Raw genomic sequence first — 24,657 nt, forward strand, 5'->3', positions numbered from 1 at the left:
CTTACTCTGGCCTCTACATTGAGAATAAACTGTAGAAGGTGGAGGAAAGGGTAGAATCCGGGAGACCATCTTGGAGGATATTGCAGATGGCAGAGGACAAGGCTACAGTCCAGGAGACCATCTCAGAGGACATTGGAGAGAGTGAAGGATAAGGGTAGAGTTCAGGAGACCATCTCAGAGGACACTGCAGAGGGTAGAGGACAAGGCTAGAATCCAGGAGACCATCTCAGAGGACGTTAGAAAGGGCGGAGGACAAGGCTAGAGTCCAGGATACCATCTCAGAGGACGTTGCAGAGGGTGGAGGACAAGGGTGTAAAATCCAGGAGACCATCTCAGAGGACGTTGGAGAGGGCGGAGGACAAGAGTAAAACCCAGGAGACCATCTCAGAGGTCATTGGAGAATTTTACTTTAGTAATCCAGACAAGAGAAAGTGGGGCACACTCTGCAGATAGCAGTAGCAGCAGCAGCAGGGAAAAGTGGCCACATTCTGGATAGTCTGAAGAGAGAGCCCTTACCATGTCCTTCCAGAGTGGTTGTGAATATGAGGAAAAGGGGAAAGTCTGTAATGACTCCAGGCACTTTAGTTTGAGTAACTAGGTGGAATTGTCACCAGTGGAGATGGAGTAGGTTGCAGCCAGAGAAGGTTTGGGTGCAAAAAGGGATTCAGAGGCCGGGTGCGGTGGCTCACGCCTGTAATCCCAGCACTTTGGGAGGCCAAGATGGGTGGATCACCTGAGGTCAGGAGTTTGAGACCAGCCTGGCCAACATGGCAAAACCCCATCTCTACTAAAAATATAAAAATCAGCTGAGAGTTGTGGCAGGTGCCTGTAATTCCAGCTACTCGGGAGGCTGAGTCAGGAGAATTGCTTGAACCTGGGAGGCGGAGGTCGCAGTGAGCTGAGTTCGTGGCATTGCACTCCAGCCTGGGTGACAAAAGCGAGACTCCATCTCAATTTGAAAAAGAGATTCAAAGTTCAGTTTTGAACTTGCTGAGTGTGAGAAGATTATAAGCCACCCACATGGAGACACCGAGTGGGTGGTCCTATCCAGATCTGATCGTTTAAGAGGGCGGTATGTGCTGGAGATGTGATAGGAGTCTTTGGCCTCTGTTTGGTATTTCAAGGAATAAGATCAGATGAGATCCCCAGTGAAAGAAGAGAGGAGTTGTAAGGACTGGGCCCTGGGGCATTCTAGCTTCATGAGGAGCAGAAGAGGACAAGCCAGCAAAGGAGAACAAGAGGGAACAACCAGGGAGGAAGCGGGGGAACCAGGAGCATGGAGAGGACTGAGAATGGAGGCTCGGATCAGTGCCAGGACCAGTGGTCCAGTGGCTGTGGCCACACAAGCTGGATTGGAGAGAAGAATGCAGGGGAGGAAGTGGAGACAGGGATTGTAGACAACTCAGTTGAGCTTTGCGGCAAAAGGGAGCAGAGTTTGAGGTGGTATCTGGTGGGGTAAATAAGCTTAGGAGAATTATTTTTCAGTTGGAAGCATTATCAGCATGTTTAGATGCTGATGGGAGTGATTCTGTAGAGAGTGAAATATTGATTGTGTGGGATGGAGGGCTGCTGAAAACACTTCTTGAGTAGGAGAGAGAGATGGGTTTGTGGAAAAGTGGAGTTACTGGCTTTAGGAGGAACACGGATAGTTACCAGTGGGGATGGACCAAATGACAGATACATGCGTGGGTGGTGCTCGGAGGAGGAGGCTCTGCAGTTCTCTTCTGATTACCGACCTTTCTTTGTGAAATGGGAGTCAAAGCCAGCATCTGAGCATGCTACATGGAGAGGGATTGGAAGTTTGCAGAGACCAGGAGGCAGCAGAAAGTCCTCTAGAGAGATGGAGGTGCAGAGCGGTCACCTGAAGCATTCACAGCCCACTCGAAGCTCTGGCTCCAGACTGAAAGAGCCACTCTGGGTGACTGCATGCTTCTCTAGACAGCCCTGATGGGGAGTTGAAGTGTGCAGGAGGTCAAGGATTGAGTGATCTTTTGGCCAAGCTGAGAGGGACACAGTGAAAGAATGGCTGGAATTGGTATTGTGTGCCAGGGAGAGAGGATCCTAATCTCAGAGGGCACTGAGACAGGGAAGTGAGGAGAGAGGACAGCGGGTCTGAGGGAGGAAGGAGCAGAGGAGGAGCCATTGGAGATGCGGGAGGAGGCCGGGCACTATGGGCCTGGGGTGATGGAGAAAGGACCTGCAGTGGCACAGGCAGTGATCTGAGGTGGTGTGAGGAACCCGGAATGTGGGGTGTCTGCGGGTGCTGCAAGTTCCAGTGTTCCTCCCAAAGGCTCGGCTTCTCAGTCATCCTGTCTCACGTTTTCATGGTCCGTACTTTAAAAGGGCTGCTGGAGAGATCTTCCCCTCCACTTACCCGATTGCCTACTTACCCCTTTGGTGATACTGGGAAGGCATTGCTAAGGTGTCACGGTTGCATTTCCTGGCTGGGGCACTGTGGCCCAGATGTGGCCACTGTGAAAGTTGCCATTTGAAGTTACCCCTCCCGCTTTCTCTTCCATTCCTTGGAAGATAAGTGCATTCTAATTTTATGTTTATTTTTTAATCTTAACTTTAACATATTAGGATTATTGCATCTTTCCCTGCAGTGCTTTTGCTGGCCCCGAGATAGGGTCTCCTCAGGTGTGAGGGAGACATTAAAGAACCCTGGAGAAAACACATCACGAGGCCAAGTAGAATTTTGTGTTCTCTCTGTTGGCCACGCCCACCTCCCAGGACGCTGTGTTTGGGAATCTGTCTCAAACAAATTCCAAGAACTGTGAAATGGCTTCATATTCACAAAAGAGTCATGGTGAAGTGGCCAAAATACTAGAAAATGACATTCCAGCACGAGCAAAGATTTTTTAAATGTTTAGAATTTATAAAGAGAGGTGGTTTTCATGGACTATAAAGCAGCCTCAATCCAGCCTTCAATGATTGAAGTAGCTAATTTTGAAATACAGGTTTTTGTTCTGTTTTGTTTTGTTTTTCCCAAGTAGGAAATATCAGTAGTTTAAAAAGAAAAGAAATTGTTGGTTAAAAACTTGGCCTTGGCCATCACTCAGCCTTTGGACCGGCCACGTTTGGGAAACTGCAGCTTTGTGTGGCCGGCTCGTTGATGGTCTGCTTTTGGCTAGCTGGCCTTTAGGGCAAAGGTCATTTTTAAAGCATGAACTAGAAGCGAAAAGACCGATACCTTGCTCTAGTTCCTCCTGGTTTCAGAGTTCCTAATGTGTAGAAATGAGCAGTATTTTTAGAAATGGAAACAGAGATGCTCTTCTGAGATGCAGCGGCTGATGGTATTGTTACAATCAATCATAACCACATTTTCCACATTTAGCTCAGTTACAGTTTTCTGGGGTTTGTTTACTTCTGTTTTTCAGACTTTGGGCCATTTTCCTCCATATTCTGTGCTCTAGGCTATGATGTTAAGTCAGTCTGTTGCTGGGTCAGTCTTCTCTGAGCCTTCCTGGTGTTTATACATGCCAAATTGGAGGGAGACGGTCAACTACTGGCAAGAGAACAGCAAGTGCCTGTTTTCTAGGGCGGTATAGATTTCTCTAGAAAGATCAAGTCAGCATTTAATGAGCATCCATGATGTGCAAGGTCCCATGCTTGAGGCTCCCAGGATAAATGAGGAGACACAGGCTGACTTCTGTTTGTAAGAATGTGGGTTTTTTTGTTGACTTTTTTTTTTTTTGGGTAATGTTGACAAGGTGAGGATGTGGATTCCAGTTCCCAAAACTGGGGCACAGGCCAGAGTAGAACTAAGACAATGAGAAATGGATGCTGACTGTTAGAAGAATTATCACAACCAAGGCAGTTTTGAGCCTGCTGTGAGGAAAGAGATGAGGAGAACCTGGGCCCTGGAACAGCAGGGCTGGGGAGCCCCTTGGAGCCTGGAGTCTGAAGATTTGCCATCAGGAGGAGGTAGAATCTGTCTCCTGGGCAGGGAGAACCATTCAGATGTGTCAAGGGTAGTGATGTGATTCAAAACAAAAGGGTTCTGGATGGTTGATTGAGTGATATCATGCTTCTGGGATAAAGGGAAGAAGACCCAGTAGGAAATGTTGGGTCATGAGGCTTAACAAAAACAAATGTATTTTTGTCCTTATTTTAAACATACAGTTTCTTTTGATTATTCCCAAAAGCCTAACAACAGAACTTCATAGACACATGCATATACATTCATTAAAGAAATATCGTGCCTGCTCTCAGACTTACAGCTTCATCAATAACTTCTAATTTTAGCTCAATTTAACACTGCCTTATTAAATATTAATGAGAACACCATTAGTATCTTGCCTTTATAATTTGTTATAAAATGGGTAACATAATTCAGTCACCTCAATCTTGATTTAAACCTGACCTTACTGATTTTAATGATCTGTTTTATGAGTTGTGTTTCATAATTTATCTCAGTGCTTTAAAAATTATTTTTCCTTTTTTCTTTCTCTCTCTAAATATATATGATATAAATAAATATAATACCTATAATTGTATGTACATAAATATATAGTCAATGTAAAAACATTTCTTTGAATTTAAAAATAAGGTGAAACCTCTTCTGGTAGAACACAGGGCTGACCGATTTGACAGTGAGAACCTCCTTTGTCTCTTAGGTTATTAGAATCAGCTAAATATACAAATAATATTGACAAACATGTAATTGAAGCATTTTTAATAATAAAATCACGTATTAAGATTTTTTTCAAGCTCGTTCTTGAGTATATTGACTTAAACAAAGTGCCTCTAAGTGAAAAAGTAATGAGTACAATTATTTATAAAGTCTTAGTATAGTCTCTTGATGTGTTTCCCAGAAACTGGACTTGAATGACTAATGTCTTGGTTGTACATTATTTACATATCTGGTGGTTCCCAAAGGTTTACTTTTGTGGGAAGATCTGCTGATTAAGTTGTCAGCTGATCACTCAGAGTTAGTTTTTTCTTTTATTACTATGTGATTTTTGGCATATATATAGAAGTTCAAGACTTGAGTTTCATTTTTACAATGTATCTTCTAGTCCATCTGTGTATGTATGTGAACAAAGTATTGAAGTTATTATAGCTATAAAAGTGAAAAGTTGGAACAAAATTGATCTTGAATTGAGTCTTATTATACATATAAGTAATATTTATCCATAGATATACAAACTTAAAGAGAAAAAATCCAAATTCTTCTGTTTTTAATAGTTTATTTTTTAGATTTAAGAAATGTACATTAATTTATATTTATCTTGTTTTTATTAATTATATAATCATTACAATTGCAGTAATTTTTAATAGTTGGAACCTTATGGTAACAAGCTATTTCAAAAATTAATACTTTTCTTAATTTTTAAAATCAGTAAAATACTTCCACTGATAAAATATAGACAAGGAATCCTATATTACATTACATGAAGTAAAAATTATGTCAGGAGAATAACAATGGTAATATAGGTTCAGAGAGATAAAGGAATGCTATAAAATTTGTGCCCGAGAAGAAAGTTTCTACATATATAAAATTTAGTGATAGGCCAAAAATTAAATCTTTTAAAACTGACATTGACTTATTTTTTAAAAGGCAATATGCCAGAAGTTACATCATTTTCAGTGATTTGTAGTTCTATTGAATTTTTTTGATGGCAACTGGGGGCATGCAAAGGGCCTGAGTAGTTTTTAAAAATTATTTTAAGCCGTATTTAAGCCAAAAAAAGGGACAGCCTCTGCTGCAGGCCACACAGTGCCAATGAGAGGGTCTGTGGGAAGAGGTGGAGCTCGAGAATCGGTGAGGCCTGGCTCTGCCCTGTCCTGCCCACGTGATCTGGAGAAGCCACTTCCCTCTTGGATTTGTTCATTATACAATGGGAATGGCAGATGCTCTAAGGATCAGATGTATTGAAGGATGGGGAAACTGTTCATAACGTGTGATCAACATTCAGATGTTAGCCACTCACATGTTAGCTACGGGCTAAGAACTAAAAGCACACAAAATGACCACCTGCAGCCCAATCTAGGTCCCGAGGGAAGAGGGAAGGAGGTCAGTGTGTATAACTGGTGGAGCCATGCTGCACGGTGGAAACTCAGCAGATACAAACAAGATACCAGCAAGCTCTGTTGCTCCCAGCTGCAAGGAAGACTGGGTGTGGAGATGGTCTACATGTTTTATTCTCTCAGAGGAGAATACTCTGATGGTGCTGCAGGGCTGCAGGAATTTGGGAGATCCAGATCTGGCTGAGGGATGTCTTCTGTCACAGCACAGAGAGAAGAGACAGCCTTAGAGGAGGTTGATTTTTATTCTCAAGCTCCTGGAGCCACGCAAGTTTGGATCCTGCCCAGAGGTCTAGGGACACATGAAATACCTCATGGTTGCTGCTGACAGCTATCATTTGTTTATCACTTTCATGTTTATAAATGAATTTCCATTTGCATGGTTATTTTGCTGGCTTAAACAATGTCCCTGTGAGCTGTGGTGCTTCCCATCATCCAGCTGAGAAAACTGAGACTGAACAAGGCTTCCTCAAGATGAGGCAACGGGCCATTGGTGGAGTTGAAACAAGCCCAGGATGCCCCATTTCCAAATCTCACATTACCTTTCTGCCTGATAAAAATTTAGGAGAGACTCTTAAGAGGTGACTCTTAGCACCAGGAAAGCAGGGAAGATTAGAACATCTTGGAAAATATCTTGATTCCAAATGGAAGTGATTTAGGATTGCAAGACCCTCCAGGATCCAGATGGGTGTGGGCGTGGTGGGAGTGGAGTGGATCATTTCTGGACATTGGTGTTTTGGAGGAGCCATTTTAAGGGCTATCAGCTGGTGTTTTATGTGCTTCAGAAGAGATCTTGAGTACCAGAAATAATGGTGTCCAGCTGTGGGAGGAAGCACATATTGAAATCAGATGAATTATTTTGCAGAGACTAGGAACATGACTGTGAAGTCCATTGGTGGACGAGGTCATTGGGGGCAGAGGAGAGGCACCAGTGGGCTCTGGAGTGCCTGTCCATCCCTGAAAGCGTAGGCCATGCGAGGTGACCACGTGGTGCTTTTGATTTCTCTTCTGGGTCCTCTTTGCCCAATTCTAGTTGAAAACTTTGGTGCAGGCTAAAGTCAGCCCAAGAGAGTGTAATATTATCACCAACACTTCCCAGAAAGAAAAAGTCAAACGCAATTTGAGGTTTTGAAGAATCAGAATGAAGAGCCTGCTGTTAAACATTTCTTCACTATGTGAGTAAGTCAACTGAATGTGAGGATTAACTACAAACAGGAGGTTTGTATATAAATGTTTCCAGGATGGGGAAAAAAAAATCACATTTCAGAATCTTTGAAGAAGGGGTTAGCCTGGGGAAGGCATTTCACAGTTCCCTCCCCTCCCCTCCCCTCCCCTTCCTTTCCTTCTTTTTTTTTTTTTAAGGAAATCAAGAAACTTCTGGTAGAATAGAGAATAAATTGAAAGTGCATCATCTGAGGAAGGTTCTTACATAGGACAGGAATTAAAGGACATCCTCTGTATTAAAAGGATCATGTAATCCACAGACTTTGAGAGCTGGCCCTGGAGGCAGTCTAGGCCTCTTTAGCACCGAGCTGAGTCTCTGGTCGAAGAGACCATGGAGTGAGGAGGGTGTGGACGTCACCCAGAACTTCCATTTCAGAGACCTGCACTCAGCCAGGCTATTTGTGTGTTCTTTCAATTCATTGACAAATCAACATTGGATTTTCGGAATTCATTCAGGATCTGTCTTTGCTCTTAATCTTAACTTTTGTATTTGAGTTCTAAAAGTTCTCTAAGGAATTACTTAAGGAATTATGGATAATTTATTTTAAAAATAAATATACATACACAGTAAAATTATTAAACTACAGAGAGTGTATTAAGTAAAAATTTAAATTCTGTACCTTCTTTCCCAGAGAAAACCACTATCATCATCACCATTATTATTATTATTATTTTTTTATTTACCCCTCTAGAAAATTTAGGAGGCATAAAAAGATACCCGCTTTTTAGTCAGAACAGGATTCTGCCATATTACTGTTTTAAGCAGTGCGTTTAAAGAGCTGTATTCAGTAGAATTTGACACATGAAAAACTTCATTATGTCAGTTTTGAAGCATAATTAGCAAATATCCTGAACCTGCCTTTCAAACGAGAGCATCGTTGATGTGAATGGTGCTCCCATATATTGCTGCCCTGGCATCCCACCTTTCCCCTGAGCTACCTACTAATCTTTCCTTGCTATTTTAAGCGTTCTTTATTGCTAAACCTTATATCCTTTTACTCATTAACAATGATATTGTGTTATAGGTAGACTTGCTCACTCAGTGTTCTCTAAGATTTAACCGCGTTGTTTTGTGTAACTGCATTTATTCATTTCATGTTGTGTAATATTTGATAATGTTGGCGTCGATTTCTTCATGCATTCTCCTGCCATTGGATGTTTGGGTTATTTTCAATCTTTACTGTCACAAAACAGTCTGCTGTTAGTATTCTTGGTTCCTAAATACCTGGTCCATAAGTGCAATTTTTTTCTTGATTATATACCAAGGAAGAGCACAGCTGGGCCTGAAAAATAAAAGCTAATTAATGATTAAGTTTGCAAGAAAATGTTGTAATGATTTCTGAAGTGTGATCATACTAATTCACATTGCCATCAGCAGTGAATAAGAGTTTCCTTTAAAATTTATGCCTTTCTTATCCTAACACTTGGCATTAGGTGTCTTAATTTTTGCCAAATTAATGGTAAGATGAATTTAAGCTACCAGTAATATTGAGCTACTTTCCCCATGTTTAATCACCATCTGTTTTGTCCACTGTAAAATGACTGCTCGTATTTTTGGTCTAGTTTTTTTATTGGATTGTATTTTTCTTATTGATTTGAACTCATTTTCCTGTATTCTGAAGACTGTTGTTTGTTTCAAGTGTTAAAAATATTACCTCCCAGTTTGTGTCATCCATTTTCACTTTCTGTAAGTTATCTTTTTAATGACTAGAAGTTCTTGATTTTAACATGCTGACTATATCAGCCTTGCCCATTTATAATTAGGGCCTTATATTTAATATATTCTTCTGTATTCTGAGGTCATAAGTCACTCTCTTATATTTAATAGTTTTAAAAGTATTTAGAATTAACTTTTGTGTGTGATGGAGGAATCCAATGTGGTTTTTATTCATAAGGAAAAATAATACGTAGTAACATTTATTGAATGGCCCTTTGTCTCTATTTATCTGAAATGCACACTCTGTTATGTGTCATGTTTCCATGTATTCATGTTTTTTTTTTTTTCTCTGTCTCCTTTATTAACTTGGTTAGGTTGCCCACCTCTGTGTCAATGCAGCCTGCTCTTAATGACTCCAGCTCTCTAGTAAGTTTTGGCACTTGGCTTCCAACCTTTTCCCTCTTATTTGGTGGTGTTTGGCTATACCTGGTCCTCTGCCCTCTATAGAGATTTTAGAGTTAGTTTATGAACTAATAGCACCATTAACAACAGCAGCAAACCCTTGTTGGGAAGTTGCTTGGATTGCATTAACTCTGTAGGTCAATTTAGAAAGAATTGGCATATTCTGGGATATTGACTTTCTCATCCATGAACATCGTATCACTATCCATGTATTTATGTCTGAAATTTCTATGTTTTCTACTTTTCTCTAGATACACCTTACTTATCTTTTGTTGAATGTGCTCCTAGTACCTTAGTTTCTTTTATACCCTTGGAAATGGAATCTTTGCTGGAATGTATAAATGTAATTACCTTTTTAATATTGATCTTGCATCTAGTCACTTTACCAAACCTTTGGTATTCTTAATATTTTGTCTATAGATTCTTGTACATATACTGTATTTTTAAATAATGAAATTACTGTTTATTCATTTTCAATTCTTATAGTTTCTCTTTCTTGTGATTGCTTTCTTTTTTGCATTAGAGCCCAAGGTACAATATTGAATTGAAGTAATAGCAGACATCCTTTCCTCCAGCCTGAGTTTTATAGGGAATGTTCTAATTTAATTAAAAATACGTTTGCCGCCATATTTTTCTAAATGTCATTAGGTTAAGGAAATTACCTTGTGTTTCTGATTTGTCGACTTTTATTTTATGTTTTTAATCATAAATACATGTTGAATTTTATCAAAGGCCTGTTCTGCATCTATTAAGAGGACCATATGGTTCTCACTGTTTTTTTATGTTCTGTTACGCTTACAATATATTCCAATGTTAAATTCTCTTATACTTCTAAGAGAAATCTAGCTTGTTTAAATACACATCTGACACACAGCTGGATTCTATTTGCCCATATTTTGTTTTAAATTTTTGCTTCTTTACTCATGAGAGAGTTTGGCCTATATTTTTTCTTTCCTTAACTGCTTTTGTCTGATTGAAGAGGGAGGGTTTTTTTTTTTTCCTGTTTTTCCCAATTTACCAGAAGATTTTGTGTACGATTTATATTATCTGCTCTTGAAATTTTGGTAGTACTCAACTGAAAACGAGACCTAGTGATTTCATTGTAGGAAGATTTCTAATCAATTTTTTTCAAAGTTTGTAAAATTATTTGCACTCATTTCTTCTTGAGTCAGTTTTGTTAAGCTTTATGTATATATATATGTTATATATAAAAAAGTATGTTAACATATATTTATATATATAACTTAAGAAAAAATTTAAAAATGAGCAAATAGAATCCAGATGTGTATTTCTATTTTATATATACATATACACACACATATATATGTTTTAGAGCTGGAGTCTTACTATGGTATGCAGGTTAAGTTGTATTCTTTTAGGCATGTGTTCATAATTCCCTGCTTTTCAATTTAATTCGCATAAAATTATTCACAGATTTTTAAATCTCTTCTATTATTTATTACAATACAATTGTTCTTTTTTCTTCCTCAACCAACCTGCCAGATTGTGCATTTATTATGATTTTCAAAGAAAAACACTCTTGACTTTGTTGACCCTCTGTATTGTAACTTTACTTTGTGTTTTATTTATTTTTGTTTTTGTTTGTTACAGGTCTTCTTTTGCTCTCTTTGATTTTGGGCTATAGTTGCTTTTCTTACTTTTTCAGCTAAAAACAGCTCAATAATTTTTAGCCCTCTTTTTAAAATATAAGCATTTAAGATTATGAATTTTCTTTTCAGGGCTGGACGCAGTGGCTCACACCGGTAATCCCAGCACTTTGGGAGGCTGAAGCCGGTGGATCACCTGAGGTCAGGAGCTTGAGACCAGCCTGGCCAACATGGTGAAACTCCGTGTCTTCTAAAAAAATACAAAAATTAGAGCGGCATGGTGGCGGGCGCCTGTAATCCCAGCTACTCGGGAGGCTGAGGCAGGAGAATTGCTTGAACCCAGGAGGTGGAGGTTGCAGTGAGCCAAGATCGTGCCACTGCATTGCAGTCTGGGAAACAAGAGCAAAACTGCGTCTCAAAAAAAATTTTCTTCTCAGTACTGCTTTAATGGCATCTCATAAGTTTTCTTAAATAATATTCTCATTAATGTTTAGTTCTACATATTTTTAAAATTACATATTTTTCTATAACCCATGAGTTACTGATAAGTCTTTCAAAATTTTCCAACGTGTGGGATCTTTTTATTATCAATATCTATCTTAATTGCATTGAGGTCAGAACACATGGTCTGCTGAGTTGTTCTTTATGTCCCAGTATAATGTCAGCTTTTGTGAATGTTCTGTGTCTTTTTGAGAAAACTGTGAATTCCCAGTTTATTGGTTCTGGGTTTTTACAATCTATTACATCAAGATTGTTTGCAGTACCTTTCATATTTTCTACATTTTCACTAGTTTTGCATGTTTGCCATTTTAAAGTCATATATAATGAGTTTTCTCAGTGCGTTGGTGTACTTGGCATTTTTCTCAGTAAGTATCATTTTTGCTTTATATATTTTGAAGTTATTTGTTGTATACAAACTTAAAATTTATGGATTCTTAATGAATTAAGACTTTTATAATGTATTACCTTCTTTTTCTCTAGTTAGGCTTTATTCTTTAAAGCCTGTTTTGTCGATAGCTTTCTTTTGGTTGGCATTTTTCTTGATCACTTTTCTCCATCCTTTGACTTCTAATTTATCCAATTTCTTATACTTTTAGGTATATTTATCTGTTTTTAAAATTTAATTTTACCATTTCTTGGCTATCAAGCTTAATCCATTTATTTTTTATGACTTTAATATATTTGGATTTTTTTCTTCAAATGCTTTTATGCCGTTTTCTGTTTTTTAAATGCATATTTGTTTCTTTATAGTATTACTTCTTTTTTTCTTTTATAATTTGGAAGTTATACATTCTGTTTCTCTTCTCTTAGTAGACAGCACTGATATTTTCCTGTGTGCACAGAAAGTAAAAAAAAAGAAAGCCTTAAATTCTCAGTTTCTAAAAACCCTAAGAGCCTTAGAATTCTGTAGTCCACTTACAGGTTTATAAGCTACGATGCTTATTCGTTTTTTAGTTCAATCTGTTTTAACTGGGCTTTAGTTATTTTCTGCTGGGAAGGGTCTTGATAGAATCTAATTCATCATAATGAGGGAAGTGGATGTCTGCAATTACTGATTTTTGTTGCTGCTGAAGACATGGGTGGCCCCTTGGCTCAAAACCTGTTTCATCATTTGGATGGAGCATCAAAGAAGATGGGAACTCTCCACTGATAGGTTTTTCATGACACTTATGTAGATTTTCAATTAAGTAGGCACAAGAGATTTTCAGTGTAGAAAAAGTATTTTATGATTCATGTGAACTAGACAAAGGACTGAGATCTTACGTGCGTGTAAGTCCAGGGCCATGTGACACACTTTGCAAATGTGGAAAGAACACAGCACTGGTAAACTTAGCTGTCGTCAAGTTGATATTCTAGATTATTTTCATTCTATAATGTTTTAAACCTTATTTTCTGTAGTAAACATATATTAACATTTATAAGGTGACCCACACACTACCGTTTTTAAAAAGATAGTGTTATTTTTAAAATAGACACCTCTTTGACCTATTTTTTTCTGTGTGACTTGAAATTTGGAGACAAATCAGGATTTCATCATGAAACATGTTTATTAGGGTGTCTGTAGAACAATGACATGGCTTGTTAGGATAAGATAAGAAACGTTTTTTCTTTTGATTGTTTTACTCTAAGGCAACACTGTTGTGTGCAAATATGAACACTTAAAGGAAATCATAGGGATCATGCAGTACAGAATTTTCAAAATTTGGGGAGTAGTTTTGTGGTAATCCATTTTCCAGAGGAAGTCTTATGGAAGCCTAATGTCTGAAAAATAAATAATAAAATTCGGCTTAGGCTCAGATGGGAATAAGTTTAGCGCCCCTGTGACCCCCATCAACTAAGGCTTCCCCTCTGTGGTTCCCCTCTGTGAAACCCACAAGAACATCCTTTACATTTAAGGCCTTCATATTACAGAGGAGGGATCAGAGACCCGTGGGGATTCCAGGGCTGGCCAGTGCCTAGACCGAGTCAATTCTTCTCAGCCCATTCCAGGCCCTCCTGCCATCCACAGCTCATTTCCACAACTAAATAGAGTTGCTCCTTCAAGCAAAGCCAATTAGGAAGTGTCTGGTGCATTTTCTTTCTTAATTATTTCCTTTACAATCATCACTGTGTCTAGATGTTTTCCTTGGATGACCCCCAATTTTCCAGCCAGACTTGCCCTGTCTGTTGCATCCTAGCACCGTGCCTGCTCCTGGCTTTGTTGGTGTCTCCTGGACTGGAAAAGCCTGTCCAGTGTCCCAAAACAGGGATTTGGTGACAAGAAGCCCCATTTTAATGGCTGTCTTTTGTTTGCTACAGGCCCTTTACTGGTCTTCTAGATGTTGTCACAGAGGGATTGATTCTTTTCAAGCAGACAGACCACATGCTATTTCTGTGCTGTAAATTTCCAAAGCTTCTTCCCTGTCCACCTCTCCAACCACACACTGGAACAAGAAGTGTGTTTGCAGCTATAATCAGCACACTTAAGTACTAGTTAAATTCAGAGTGAGTACAAAATCCGTACAGCTCCTGACTCTGAAAGAGGCTATAAAAATATTATAACATGGCTTCAAGCCCTCTGGGACCTTTAAAAATAAGGTGATCCCTCCTAACCCATTTAAAGCTTATTGGGGGTTCTAAAATAGCCCAGATTACATGTTAAGGGAGTTGTCTGATTCATAGAGGATTGTGTCAGACACCCAGGAGTCCTGGCTGCCGACTAGCAAATTCTTTTCTTGTTTCTGTTTTTTTTTCGGGGGGTGGGGGATAAGGTGCACAGTTATAGCCACTTACTTTCCTGTAAACTTCCTGAGGCTAGTCACCTTCGTCTGTACCCATGGCGTGTACCTGAAATGGTTGTGAAGTAGCCCAACAAGAGAGTCAGAGGTGCCTCCAGAAGAAGCAGCTTTCAGCTCCCTAATCTCATCTGTACACCACACATCTTTTTGGATGTCATTTCTGTAGGTTGTTGCATAGATCCCCATGACAGCCCTTTGAGTAGCAGGGCAGTTCTCACCAACCCAAATCACAGATGATGATACTGAGGCTTTATGGCACCATGGAATGGTCCAAGGTCTCATGAATTTAATTTGCAGTTGGGTCTTGAATCTGGGTCTCTTGGATCTTAGACCGAGATTTTTGTTTGCTTGGCTTACTGTTAATCTCAGGTCTGATGTTGGGATACCCTGTTCTAATCTAGTGGCATCCGGGGACGCTGCTCAGCTTCAATGTGAGAACAACTCTGCATGCTTCTGGGAGGCTTGGTGGTTTATAGTCCACTCCCTCATACATTATCTGATAAGCTTTCAGCAAATACATATGCTACAAAAAATATGCAGGGCACTTGCAAATTATTACTTATCTGCAGCAAAGTTCTGACTGCTTTCCTTGTCTCAGACTGTAGAAAATCATGTGAAAATGACAAGCATATTAAAATGCTCTCTGTTGAAAACTCCATCAGTAGTTCTCAGGGCATCAGGAGCAAAGTCTGGACTCTTCCTGAACGTGTGAGGAAGCTCCTGGCCTGGCTGCAGCCTCATTTACTCTTAGGCCCCCAGCACACTCCAACTGGAATGTGAGGAATAATTGGTGGCCCTGGACAGCCCTTTGGTGGCATGGTTTCTCACTGGCTGTTCCCTCCCCTTGGCCCAGTGTCTGCAGGAAGCTCTTCGTGAGAGCCCTTCTCGTTGAGAAACCCCTTCTCTGTCCCACGTGCTTGCCTCTGTTGAATCCTGTATCTGTCTGTCCTGCATGTAGGGCTTTACCCGCTACATGTGGGCTCTGAGCTCAGCGTAGAGGGCCTGGCATCTGCTCCGGTGTTGAGAGTGCTCAGAGGTCAGAAGGCACTTGGTAAATATTAGCTGAATGAAGGAACTGTATTTTAAAACAATTCCCTTTTGTGTTATATTTGTGCAAAAGTGTGTGCAAAGTGTGACTGGAAGAATGTGATTATGTGTGGGTAAGTGCTGGATGTTGTGCGTACTAAGAGGGAAACTGGTCTACCTGATGCCCACCTTGGCGTTGACCACATCAGGCTCAGAGAGCTCACTGCATAGAGGCTGCTGTGGGATTGGCAGGGAATGGGTACCCCGCATGGTTTATCTCTATTTCCTCCAAGCAACTCTGCACACTTTTGCATAGAGCTGACCCTCAACAAGTGCTTTTGGGATTGAATGACACTGTAATCTCTCTAAATACTTGGACTTTATGAGCCCTCTGGTTCTAGGCCTCTGCTGAGATCCTAGAGGACACTGAAAGGCATATTCTGAGAGCTACCTCTTTGCAAATGCTTTTATTTTAAGTAAAAGAAAATGTCCTTGTTTCCTCCTACCCCTTTTCCAATCTTAGCACTCTATATTGCCTTGCAGGGACTGTGGGCCATCACTAGCTCCCCGCCTCTCACCACTCAATCTCAACATGTCTGTTTTTTAGCAGCTTGGTGTGAGGCTCTTAGCTTTCCTTCTGGGGGCTGCAGCTGAGACTGCCTAATCTTGGATTTGCCCAGTTAGGCAACGACAGAATGGGGTGGGGGAGTCGGGATGGAGCTCCAGGGAAGCAGATGGATCGCCGGAGGGCTGCTGTCACATTGCATTGGAAGGTGACAGATGGAAGCACACAGTAGTCTGCAGCCAGGCTGTCATGCGCAGCCACCATGGGGCACCGGGCGTGCTGTCTCTTCCTGGAAGGTGGAACTTGATCACCACTCTGCCTGGCCTCAGCAGTCCCTTCTGCGGGGCTCTGCTCTGGGCTGGTGAAGGGACAGAAAGCAAAGTGGAGTGATTGAAGGACACAGTCCAGTAACTCAGCAGCCTGCCGTGCCAGAGACAGAACAGACACACGGACAAGGGCAAGCCTTCCTTGCTTTCCTCCCCGACACCCAGGTGACCACCCAGTTTGGGAGGAAAACAGAATATTGCATTTTAGGTAGAGCAGCTGATTAAAGTTCTCGGGCCAGATGTCTTAGTGATTCATGGTGCTCTCAGCATAGACCTTGAGCAATAACCCATGTGGCCCACTTTTTCGTTCTTGGTGGAGCGCTGGCTCCTTCTGGGAGTTACAAATGTTGGGCTGTGACTAGCACCTTGAGCTAACTCAGTAGCCTCTCTCCTATGTCACGGTGGGAGTGTGTGGGACGTTGAGGTACAAAGCTGAAGAAGGTTCAGTGTTCATGATTCTGGGGGACTGTCCACGTGACCGTAATCTATTTCCCAGAGGGTCCCAGGCTGGCTGCCTTCCCAATCAGACAGTTGCTTCTGTGCATCCCGCAGGAGGAGGCAGAGGAGGACATGGGCCTGGTGTCTCACCTGCAAGGTGGCAGTGGGGTAGGCTGTGCAGAGATCAAGGTTGGGAGTGGGCCCTGCTGAAAGGAGCTTGGACACTATTCCAAAGCTTCTCTTTTACCCAATGGCTCCCTAAAAGCTTCTCTTTTACCCAGTGACTCCCTAAATGGTGCATTAGATCATCTTGCAGGTGCAGCGTGGGCGTCCAGTTACTGCTCTCCGGGGCTTGCTCCCCTGATCACTCTCTTACTGCCCTCAGAGCACAGAACACGTGATGCTCCTGGCGAAGCACCTCATTGACTCATTCCAAATAAACTCCCTCAGTGAGAGGACAGGGCCTCTGCATCCCTGTGGCCAAGTCACAGCACTGGGGGTGAGGCTGGTGATCTGATACATCAGAAGCGCCCTGGCTTGTCTGCAACTCCAGGGAGTTCTGATCTCAGGGTCTCATGAAGCCTTGTAACTTTCACAACTTGTTCTCTCAGTGGGACATTGGGGTATGGCCAGGAGTCAGAGACTTTAAAAAGGAAGCAGAGGGATTGAAAGGCGGGATGGAAGTGAAAGTGGAGCATGGCTCATTGGTGTGATTATTTAATAGATTACTAGGAAAACAGGGATCATGATGTACAATTGCGTGTGCACATCCAGATAGGAGAGCTGCTGTTGGATGTCTTAGTTCATTTTCTGTCGCTGTAATAGAGTATCTGAGACTGGGTGATATAAAGAAAAGAAGTTTATTTCTCACAGTCCTGGAGGCTGGGAAGTCCGGGATCAGGTGACCTCATGGGGTGGGCTGTTGGTGAGGGGCCTCACGCGGCATCATAGCACAGCAGAAGGCATCACAGGATGAGGGGCACACGAAAGAAAACCAAAGTGGCTTCTATAACAGACTCACTCTCAGGGTAGCTGTTCTACTCCTATGATAACCCATTAATCTGTTCATCCATAACCGGTGAATGGATTAATCCGGTCATGAGGGCAGACGCCTTATGACCCAGTCATTTCTTAAAGATCACCACCCCCCCCATACTGTTTCATTGAGGATTAAGTTTCAGCATGAGTTCCAGAGGGAACCAACATTGAAACCATAGCACTGGAGCAGCAAGTGAAGTTCCCAATTCCCCTGGATTCCCCGGGACTTGTCTACTACCAAATAGGCACTTTGATCTCAGTCAAGGGGCTACCTGTCCCTGCCCTCATATGGAGATCATACAGTGCTGCTCCATGTTACTTCCTCTCTGTGGCCTGTATTCCGGAGACCCTCCAGCACTCACATTCTGTGATTCCAAGAGTTATAAATGAATGTCTTGCCCCTAGTATCCAGGAGGATATTTCATGGCAATGGAGACCACTGGAAAACTAAAGGGAAACATGGGTGGAGGAAAAGTAAACTGTGTTGTTCAGTGAAGCCCTAAAATCCTCTTCTTTTTCCTTATTTTCCCTCGGAGTAGACTAGGGACGATGTATATCATAGGCCCTTGTGCCTTTGGCATGGAATCTTCGCAACAGAGTGAAAACCTTTGAGGTTCCCAGATCAACTCTTAGAATCTGCCTTACTCACCTATTTTTTAAAAAATGAGCCCAGCTGAAGGTGGCTTCTGACATTTGAAAGGCATACCATGAAGGGACTTTGGCTTTTGTTAGAGAACTTGAGTCGGGGTGAGTCCACCTGGGCCCCTGGATGATACTCTTTTAAAAAGGCAATGAGAGTGGCCAAGGTTGTGTTCTGGAAAGTGATGGTCACAACACACAACCGGGGAAGTATAACACCATCTTGAATTGAAGGAGAAATTAATCACGACTCGGAAGTATTGGTGTGTAGAGAGAAGGATACTCAGGTGGAAGAGCACTGACCTGCTCTCTGCGTAGATCAGGCATGTATTTCATCTCACCGTGAGGGGAGGAAGTCATGCCAGGTAAATCTCAAGGCGCTTCCACACCTGAAATGTTCCTGGCAAATACATGGGTTCCCCGGTGTGGAGGTATGAGAGTTCTTTTCTCCTTCACCGCAGACAGGCAGGTCTGTGGCAGTTTCAGGCTCTCTGCTGGATTCACACTCATAAGTGGTTTGTTTACTTCCTTCAGCATGAAGGAAGAGCTGAAGAAAGTGCTGGCATGCGCTTACTTTTGAAATTGGCAGTGAAGTGATTGTATGAAGTCATTGGTCAGCATAATGCCAATTTCAATTGTGTGTGCGTGTGTGTGTACGTGTGTGTGTTTGGTAGTGAAGAAAGCTTTCAGAAAAATCTGCTTTGCTATTTGAAATGCAACGTGGTCCTCTGGATGTCTTTCTTGTACTTACATGGTTTTTTTTTTCTGTATGGCTTTTAGTGTAATTTCTCTTTAAAACATAATAATTTAGCAATTAGAAAAGGAATAATGCATGCTTTTCTTTTTTTAAGTCTGATGTTAAATCAGTCCATGGGTTTCTGGTTACTTCTTACTGCATCACAGAAAGGTCTATTGCTTCATAGGCATTTAACATGTTGCGATTATCTTTATGATAATAAATCTTTATGATGATAATGATTATGTGCTACGACAATATGACCAGGAAAAAAAATTATTTTCTGAGGGGTGGAGGCGTTTTATTTTCCAGATTGAATTCCTATAAAGGTACATTTTTTTTTTCCCTCTTAGAATGTGAACTACTCTTTTACAGACCTGCACTGAGTGCCTTCTGTGTCCAGGGCACTGTGAGTGGAGTCCCTGCGATCCAGAGTATTTGATACAGATCCAGCCTTAGGAGATAGTAATGTATTTGGAGAGATGAGACATGCATGCATCCTAAGGACATAATTTATATTTTATTTCAAGAGCAAGAGAACACTAAGAGAGGAAAGCTCCGATGCAAGGATCTTGCTGTGGATGACATCCTTGAGGCCATGCCTTCATGTCTGGCACATGACTTTGAATACCCATCCCTCTTTTGTCCTTCTGCCTAGAATTTCTTTCACTCATAACAACATCACTCCAACCTTAAAGCCCAGCATGAATACCCCTTCTTCCATGAAGTATTCCTGACTTGGCCACCTGGAAATGCTGTGTTTTCTTGGAATTCCTAGGCAGTGTGTGGTATTGTGGAAGTAGTATTAGCTACAGTGTTTGATTGGCATTTGAAAATCTCTCTCTCATTTACTAAATACATGTGAAATTGAAACAGCCTCGTTGTCTGGGGTAATATCTGAGGTTTGTTGTTTCATGGCCAGGGAGAACAAGGACACGGACATACGAAGAGTGAGGTTGACAGTGGAAGTTTAATAGGTGAAAGAAAGAGAATAGCTCTCCGCTACAGAGAGCGGTCCTGGAAAAATGCGTTGTGGGATCCACGGTGAAATGCAGGGGGTTTTATAGATAAGCTGGTGGGGAATGATACCTGGTCTACATAGGGAGCTAAAGACTGGTTATGCCAGGTGTGCCATTTGCATAGGGCACAAATCTCTGGTAGCCCCCACCCTAATGATTTATTATGCAGGCGGGTTCTCTGCCTGAGCTCCACCATGTTGCCCTTTTATTTATTACTGTACACGTGGTAACAGAAAAGGGAAGATGGAGCCTCCATGTTGGACATGCCCGGCCCCCAGGTCACCCTTTTCTATGGTGCAGCTGCTGGCATCCCCCATAGAAGTTTCTGGCTTCCTTATTTATGTTTGCAGCTCCATTTCTCAGGCTGTTCTTTGTTACAAGAGAAATGATTTTGGGAGGTTGCTTTTTGTTAGAAGGGAAGCTCTGCCGAGGACTCTTTTTGATCTCATAATTTCTTTCTACCTCCCATATCAAAACTTTGTGCTATTTAGCCTTCTGACTGAACACTGGTTTCCTCATCTGTGAAGCCAATATCTCATCAGATTATGGATAAATTCACCGAAATAAGGAAAACTTCTAACACTTAGACAAGAAAATTAATAAAACATTAGTTCTTCCCCATTCTATTTTGCTTGGATATTTATGCACTTGTCTTATTTTATTCATCACAGCATAAACTTCCAGAGGCAGGGCAATACCTTTTCCATTACTGAGCACAGGCATTCATGCACAGAAGGTCCTCAGTTAATGACTGGCCCAGCCTTGCTGGTCTCCATGGTTTATGCCATCATGATGCCAGTGTTGAATTTGTGGTGGTCTTTGAACTGTGATTGATCGTTGAAGGGAGATGACAAGATCATTTTGATAATTTTAAAAGATGGATGAATAAGGGGACTGTCCTCAGCACTGAGAAGCAGAGGTCAAGGATGAAGTCGTACTTGGACTAGAATTAGGCTAAGTTATAAGTGGTGATTTGATGCATGAGATCCACCTTTCTATGTTTGAGATATTGGAGGACATCTTTTCTGAATCGTGCCTTGTTCCACAGAGAGAGACTGAGACCTGAACAGACAGGAACATAGGTAACATCAGGAGTCCTCAGGTAACATGAACACTAAATACCTGAAAATGTATGTTTGATTTTTACCCTTACGGGCCAAGCAAGGAGTCTCTGGGTTGAAATGTTTGTGTCCGTTTGGAGGTAGGTGAATCTCCAATGATTTGGGGGGCATGAAAGTTAATATGCAACACATTCTGATCCGATTTACCTTCTGTGTTGGCTCCATCCTGTTCCTTAATGGACTGATGAACCTCTCTCAGTATCATGTCACTTTCTGAGCTCGTAGACATTCCTTGTCACACAATTAAATTCCTCGTGACTTGGTTTTCTAAGTTAAACCACCTTTTCTTGCCTCCTTCTTCTTCTCAGAATGAATCTGTGTAATTGGATGTGTGAGGTATGCTTAGTTGCCATTTACCTAAGTCTGTTTCCAAAAATGACCGAACAAAAGACTATTACAAGAGAAGAGGCCCAAACAAACCCTGTAGTTTTAACAAATTTCCTTTTCTCCTCCCTTCTTATCTCTCTCACTCTCTTTTCCACTTTCTTCTCTCCTCTGTCTTTAGCTAGTTAATTACATATCTAGAGTTAAAACTCAGGGTTTCCGAGTCATGTGTCCTTGGTGTGCAGTCATTGGGTGAGGAGCTGGGGACGTCAAAAATGAATTTAACGTAGTCCCTCCTCTCAGGCAGCTGCAAACTAGAAGCAGGCGTGGGACACACTGTATGCCCAGGAGTGGCTTTGCATTTGAGAGCCATCCTTCTGGCAGCTGTGCAGGGAATGGGTCGACCTGGCCTTGCATTTTCCTCACTCCCCTCCTGGCCCACTCCAGCAGCTGGTAGGCAAAGCTGTAAAGGAAGTAATGATGTGGCTCAGGAAAGAGGCATGAGGTTAAAGAAAAACTGTGGCAAGGGTAGCAGAGATGGAAAAAAAAACAAAAAACAGAAAACAAAAAAACACAACACAGCAAGAGAACACGTTGGCTTCCAATGTGAATTTTCATTCTTTGAAAGAGGGAGCATGTTCATGTCCTTTGCCCACTTTTTGAAGACATTTATGCAGCCAAAAAACACATGAAAAAATACTCATCATCACTGGCCATCAGAGAAATGCAAATCAAAACCACAATGAGATACCATCTCACACCAGTTAGAATGGCAATCATTAAAAAGTCAGGAAACAACAGGTGCTGGAGAGGATGTGGAGAAATAGGAACACTTTTACATTGTTGGTGGGACTGTAAATTAGTTCAACCCTTGTGGAAGTCAGTGTGGCAATTCCTCAGGGATCTAGAACTAGAAATACCATTTGACCCAGCCATCCCATTACTGGGTATATACCCAAAGGGCTATAAATCATGCTGCTATAAAGACACATGCACACGTATGTTTATTGTGGCACTATTCACAATAGCAAAGACTTGGAACCAACCCAAATGTCCAACTATGATAGACTGAATTAAGAAAACGTGGCACATATACACCATGGAATACTACGCAGCCATAAAAAATGATGAGTTCATGTCCTTTGTAGGGACATGGATGAAATTGGAAATCATCATTCTCAGTAAACTATCGCAAGAACAAAAAACCAAACACCACATATTCTCACTCATAGGTGGGAATTGAAAAATGAGAACACATGGACACAGGAAGGGGAACATCACACTCTGGGGACTGTTGTGGGGTCGGGGAGGGGGAGGGATAGCTTTAGGAGATATACCTAATGCTAAATGACGAGTTAATGGGTGCAGCACACCAGCATGGAACATGTATACATATGTAACTAACCTGCGCATTGTGCACATGTACCCTAAAACTTAAAGTATAATAATAATAAAAATAAAAAAAAGAGGGAGCATGGGTTTGCACTCAACACAGTAGCAAGGAGTTTAGGTATACAAGTAGGATTTCTGCACACAGAGGAGTTCTGCCTGCGTGTGTGTGCGGGGTGCCCTGTTTGGAATTGTCCACAAACAGGTGTACTCAACAAATTTCAAATGTTTGCTCCACCATAGCTGGCAGGCCTGTTGTGAGGATATTTACAAGAAATGTGAAACAACCTTGCAGACACATGCACTGGGACGAGGCAAGGCTTTTCTGGGCCTGGAGGGAAAATAGGGAAATAGGACACGATCTCAGCTCATGAGGAGGGTGTGTCGGAGGCTGTCATAGGAGGCAGTGGTGCCCTGCAAGGTGGGGAGCGGCCCCCACCACACATGTGAAGGCAGGTGGAAGCTCTTAGGTGAGTGGGCCTACAGCACCAGACCCCTCCCGTGTACGGAGAGCAACTTTGTGTCAATTACTCAATTACAGAAACGTCTATATATTCAGGGCCTTTATGGAGTTTAAGGGACCAGTGCCTTCTAGAGGGAGAAGCTTTTCTAAGCCTGAGGCATAATGCAAAACCTAAGCGCAAACAGCGGGAAGATGGGGCGGTGACTCTGTCTCAGTGGCAAGGGTGGAGCTGCAGGCCCGTGTGGTGGCGCAGAGCTTCGGGAAACGGGACAGGATTGCATCTTCAGGATGGCATCCGTGACGCTGTTTCCCCATCCTTTCCAGGTGAATAAGGAAAAAGGCACGAGATTTATAAAAATTGCTTTTGGTAATTAAGTGTAATTATATAATCTTAAAAGGAAATCTCTCTTTTACCTACTAGATTGCTATGCTGTTTGTATTTGGTGAAGAGACAGAAAATTTGCCTATCAGGGTTTTCACTTATTAAGCTTTCAGTTTTTAAACAGGATGTGCATTTTAGGTTTGAAGAAGTTAAATGTTTAGTATCATTAAAAAAGAAAGAAAAGGAAAAAAGACCGCTCCTCACCCCCACAACACACACACAAATACCAGAATTGCACATTCAGCATTGGGGAAGTTGTTTACTCAGCCACAATTGTTAGCCCCGACCTTTGCAGGTACTTCAAAGTCTTAGCCCATATATTTCACAGTAAGAAGAAATGGTGGTTTAAATAGACTGTGTGAGTATGATTATGACAATATTGGCCAGAGAAACACCGGAATATTTTAAAATTTGAGTTATTCTCCAAATGTTGGATGTTTTCACCTTCTAGCTAGGACGCAGAAACAGCAGGAACATGAAGACTAAAGAAACACTGGAATATTTTAAAGTTTGAGTTATTCTCCAAATATTGGATGTTTTCTTCACCTTCTAGCTAGGATGCAGAAACAGTAGCAACACGAAGACTAAAGAAACACTGGAATATTTTAAAGTTTGAGTTATTCTCCAAATGTTGGATGTTTTCTTCACCTTCTAGCTAGGATGCAGAAACAGCAGCAACACGAAGACTAAACAGCCGTGGTCAGCGTCACCCACTTTGGTCTTCCCAGAACCTGAAAAGTCTGTGCTCTGAGGTTGGTTTGGGGAGAAGGATAAATTGCCCCTGGAGAAATCACCAGTCACCAAAATGTCTAAAGCAGCCCACTATAAAAAGAATATTTTAAGAGGTTAATAGTAGCCAAGTTCCTTTTCCATGACAACCTCCTGTCGTGCGTTTTGAAATACAGTAAATATTGGCATGAGAAGGGGAGTGAC

At 41.6% G+C, this 24,657-nt stretch overlaps 1 protein-coding gene across 8 annotated transcripts in view, besides 1 other annotated feature; it reads left to right on the top strand.

Moving 5' to 3' along the window:
- The window catches only part of RNF144A (ring finger protein 144A), a 158,956-nt gene that overhangs the window by 24,621 nt on the left and 109,678 nt on the right, over nt 1-24,657 (top strand). The window contains exons 3-4 of one of the 8 annotated variants that reach the window (NR_146069.2): nt 9,286-9,337; nt 11,113-12,969. The exons of the other annotated variants lie outside the window; for them this stretch is intronic. The gene's annotated coding sequence lies outside the window, so the exon portion shown is untranslated. Of the gene's footprint in view, nt 1-9,285; nt 9,338-11,112; nt 12,970-24,657 lie in introns of those variants that run through there. 8 annotated transcript variants of the gene reach the window in all.
- Nucleotides 18,726-19,020: a silencer, noted in NCBI's record as "tiled region #7309; HepG2 Repressive non-DNase unmatched - State 16:ElonW, and K562 Repressive non-DNase unmatched - State 23:Low". NCBI's record gives its function as "represses a minimal TATA promoter and a strong SV40 promoter by Sharpr-MPRA in HepG2 and K562 cells {active_cell/tissue: HepG2 | K562}" and the evidence as "EXISTENCE:reporter gene assay evidence [ECO:0000049][PMID:27701403]".

The sequence above is a fragment of the Homo sapiens genome, chromosome 2 (genome assembly GCF_000001405.40).
Source record: "Homo sapiens chromosome 2, GRCh38.p14 Primary Assembly".
Taxonomy (NCBI): Eukaryota; Metazoa; Chordata; class Mammalia; order Primates; family Hominidae; genus Homo; species Homo sapiens.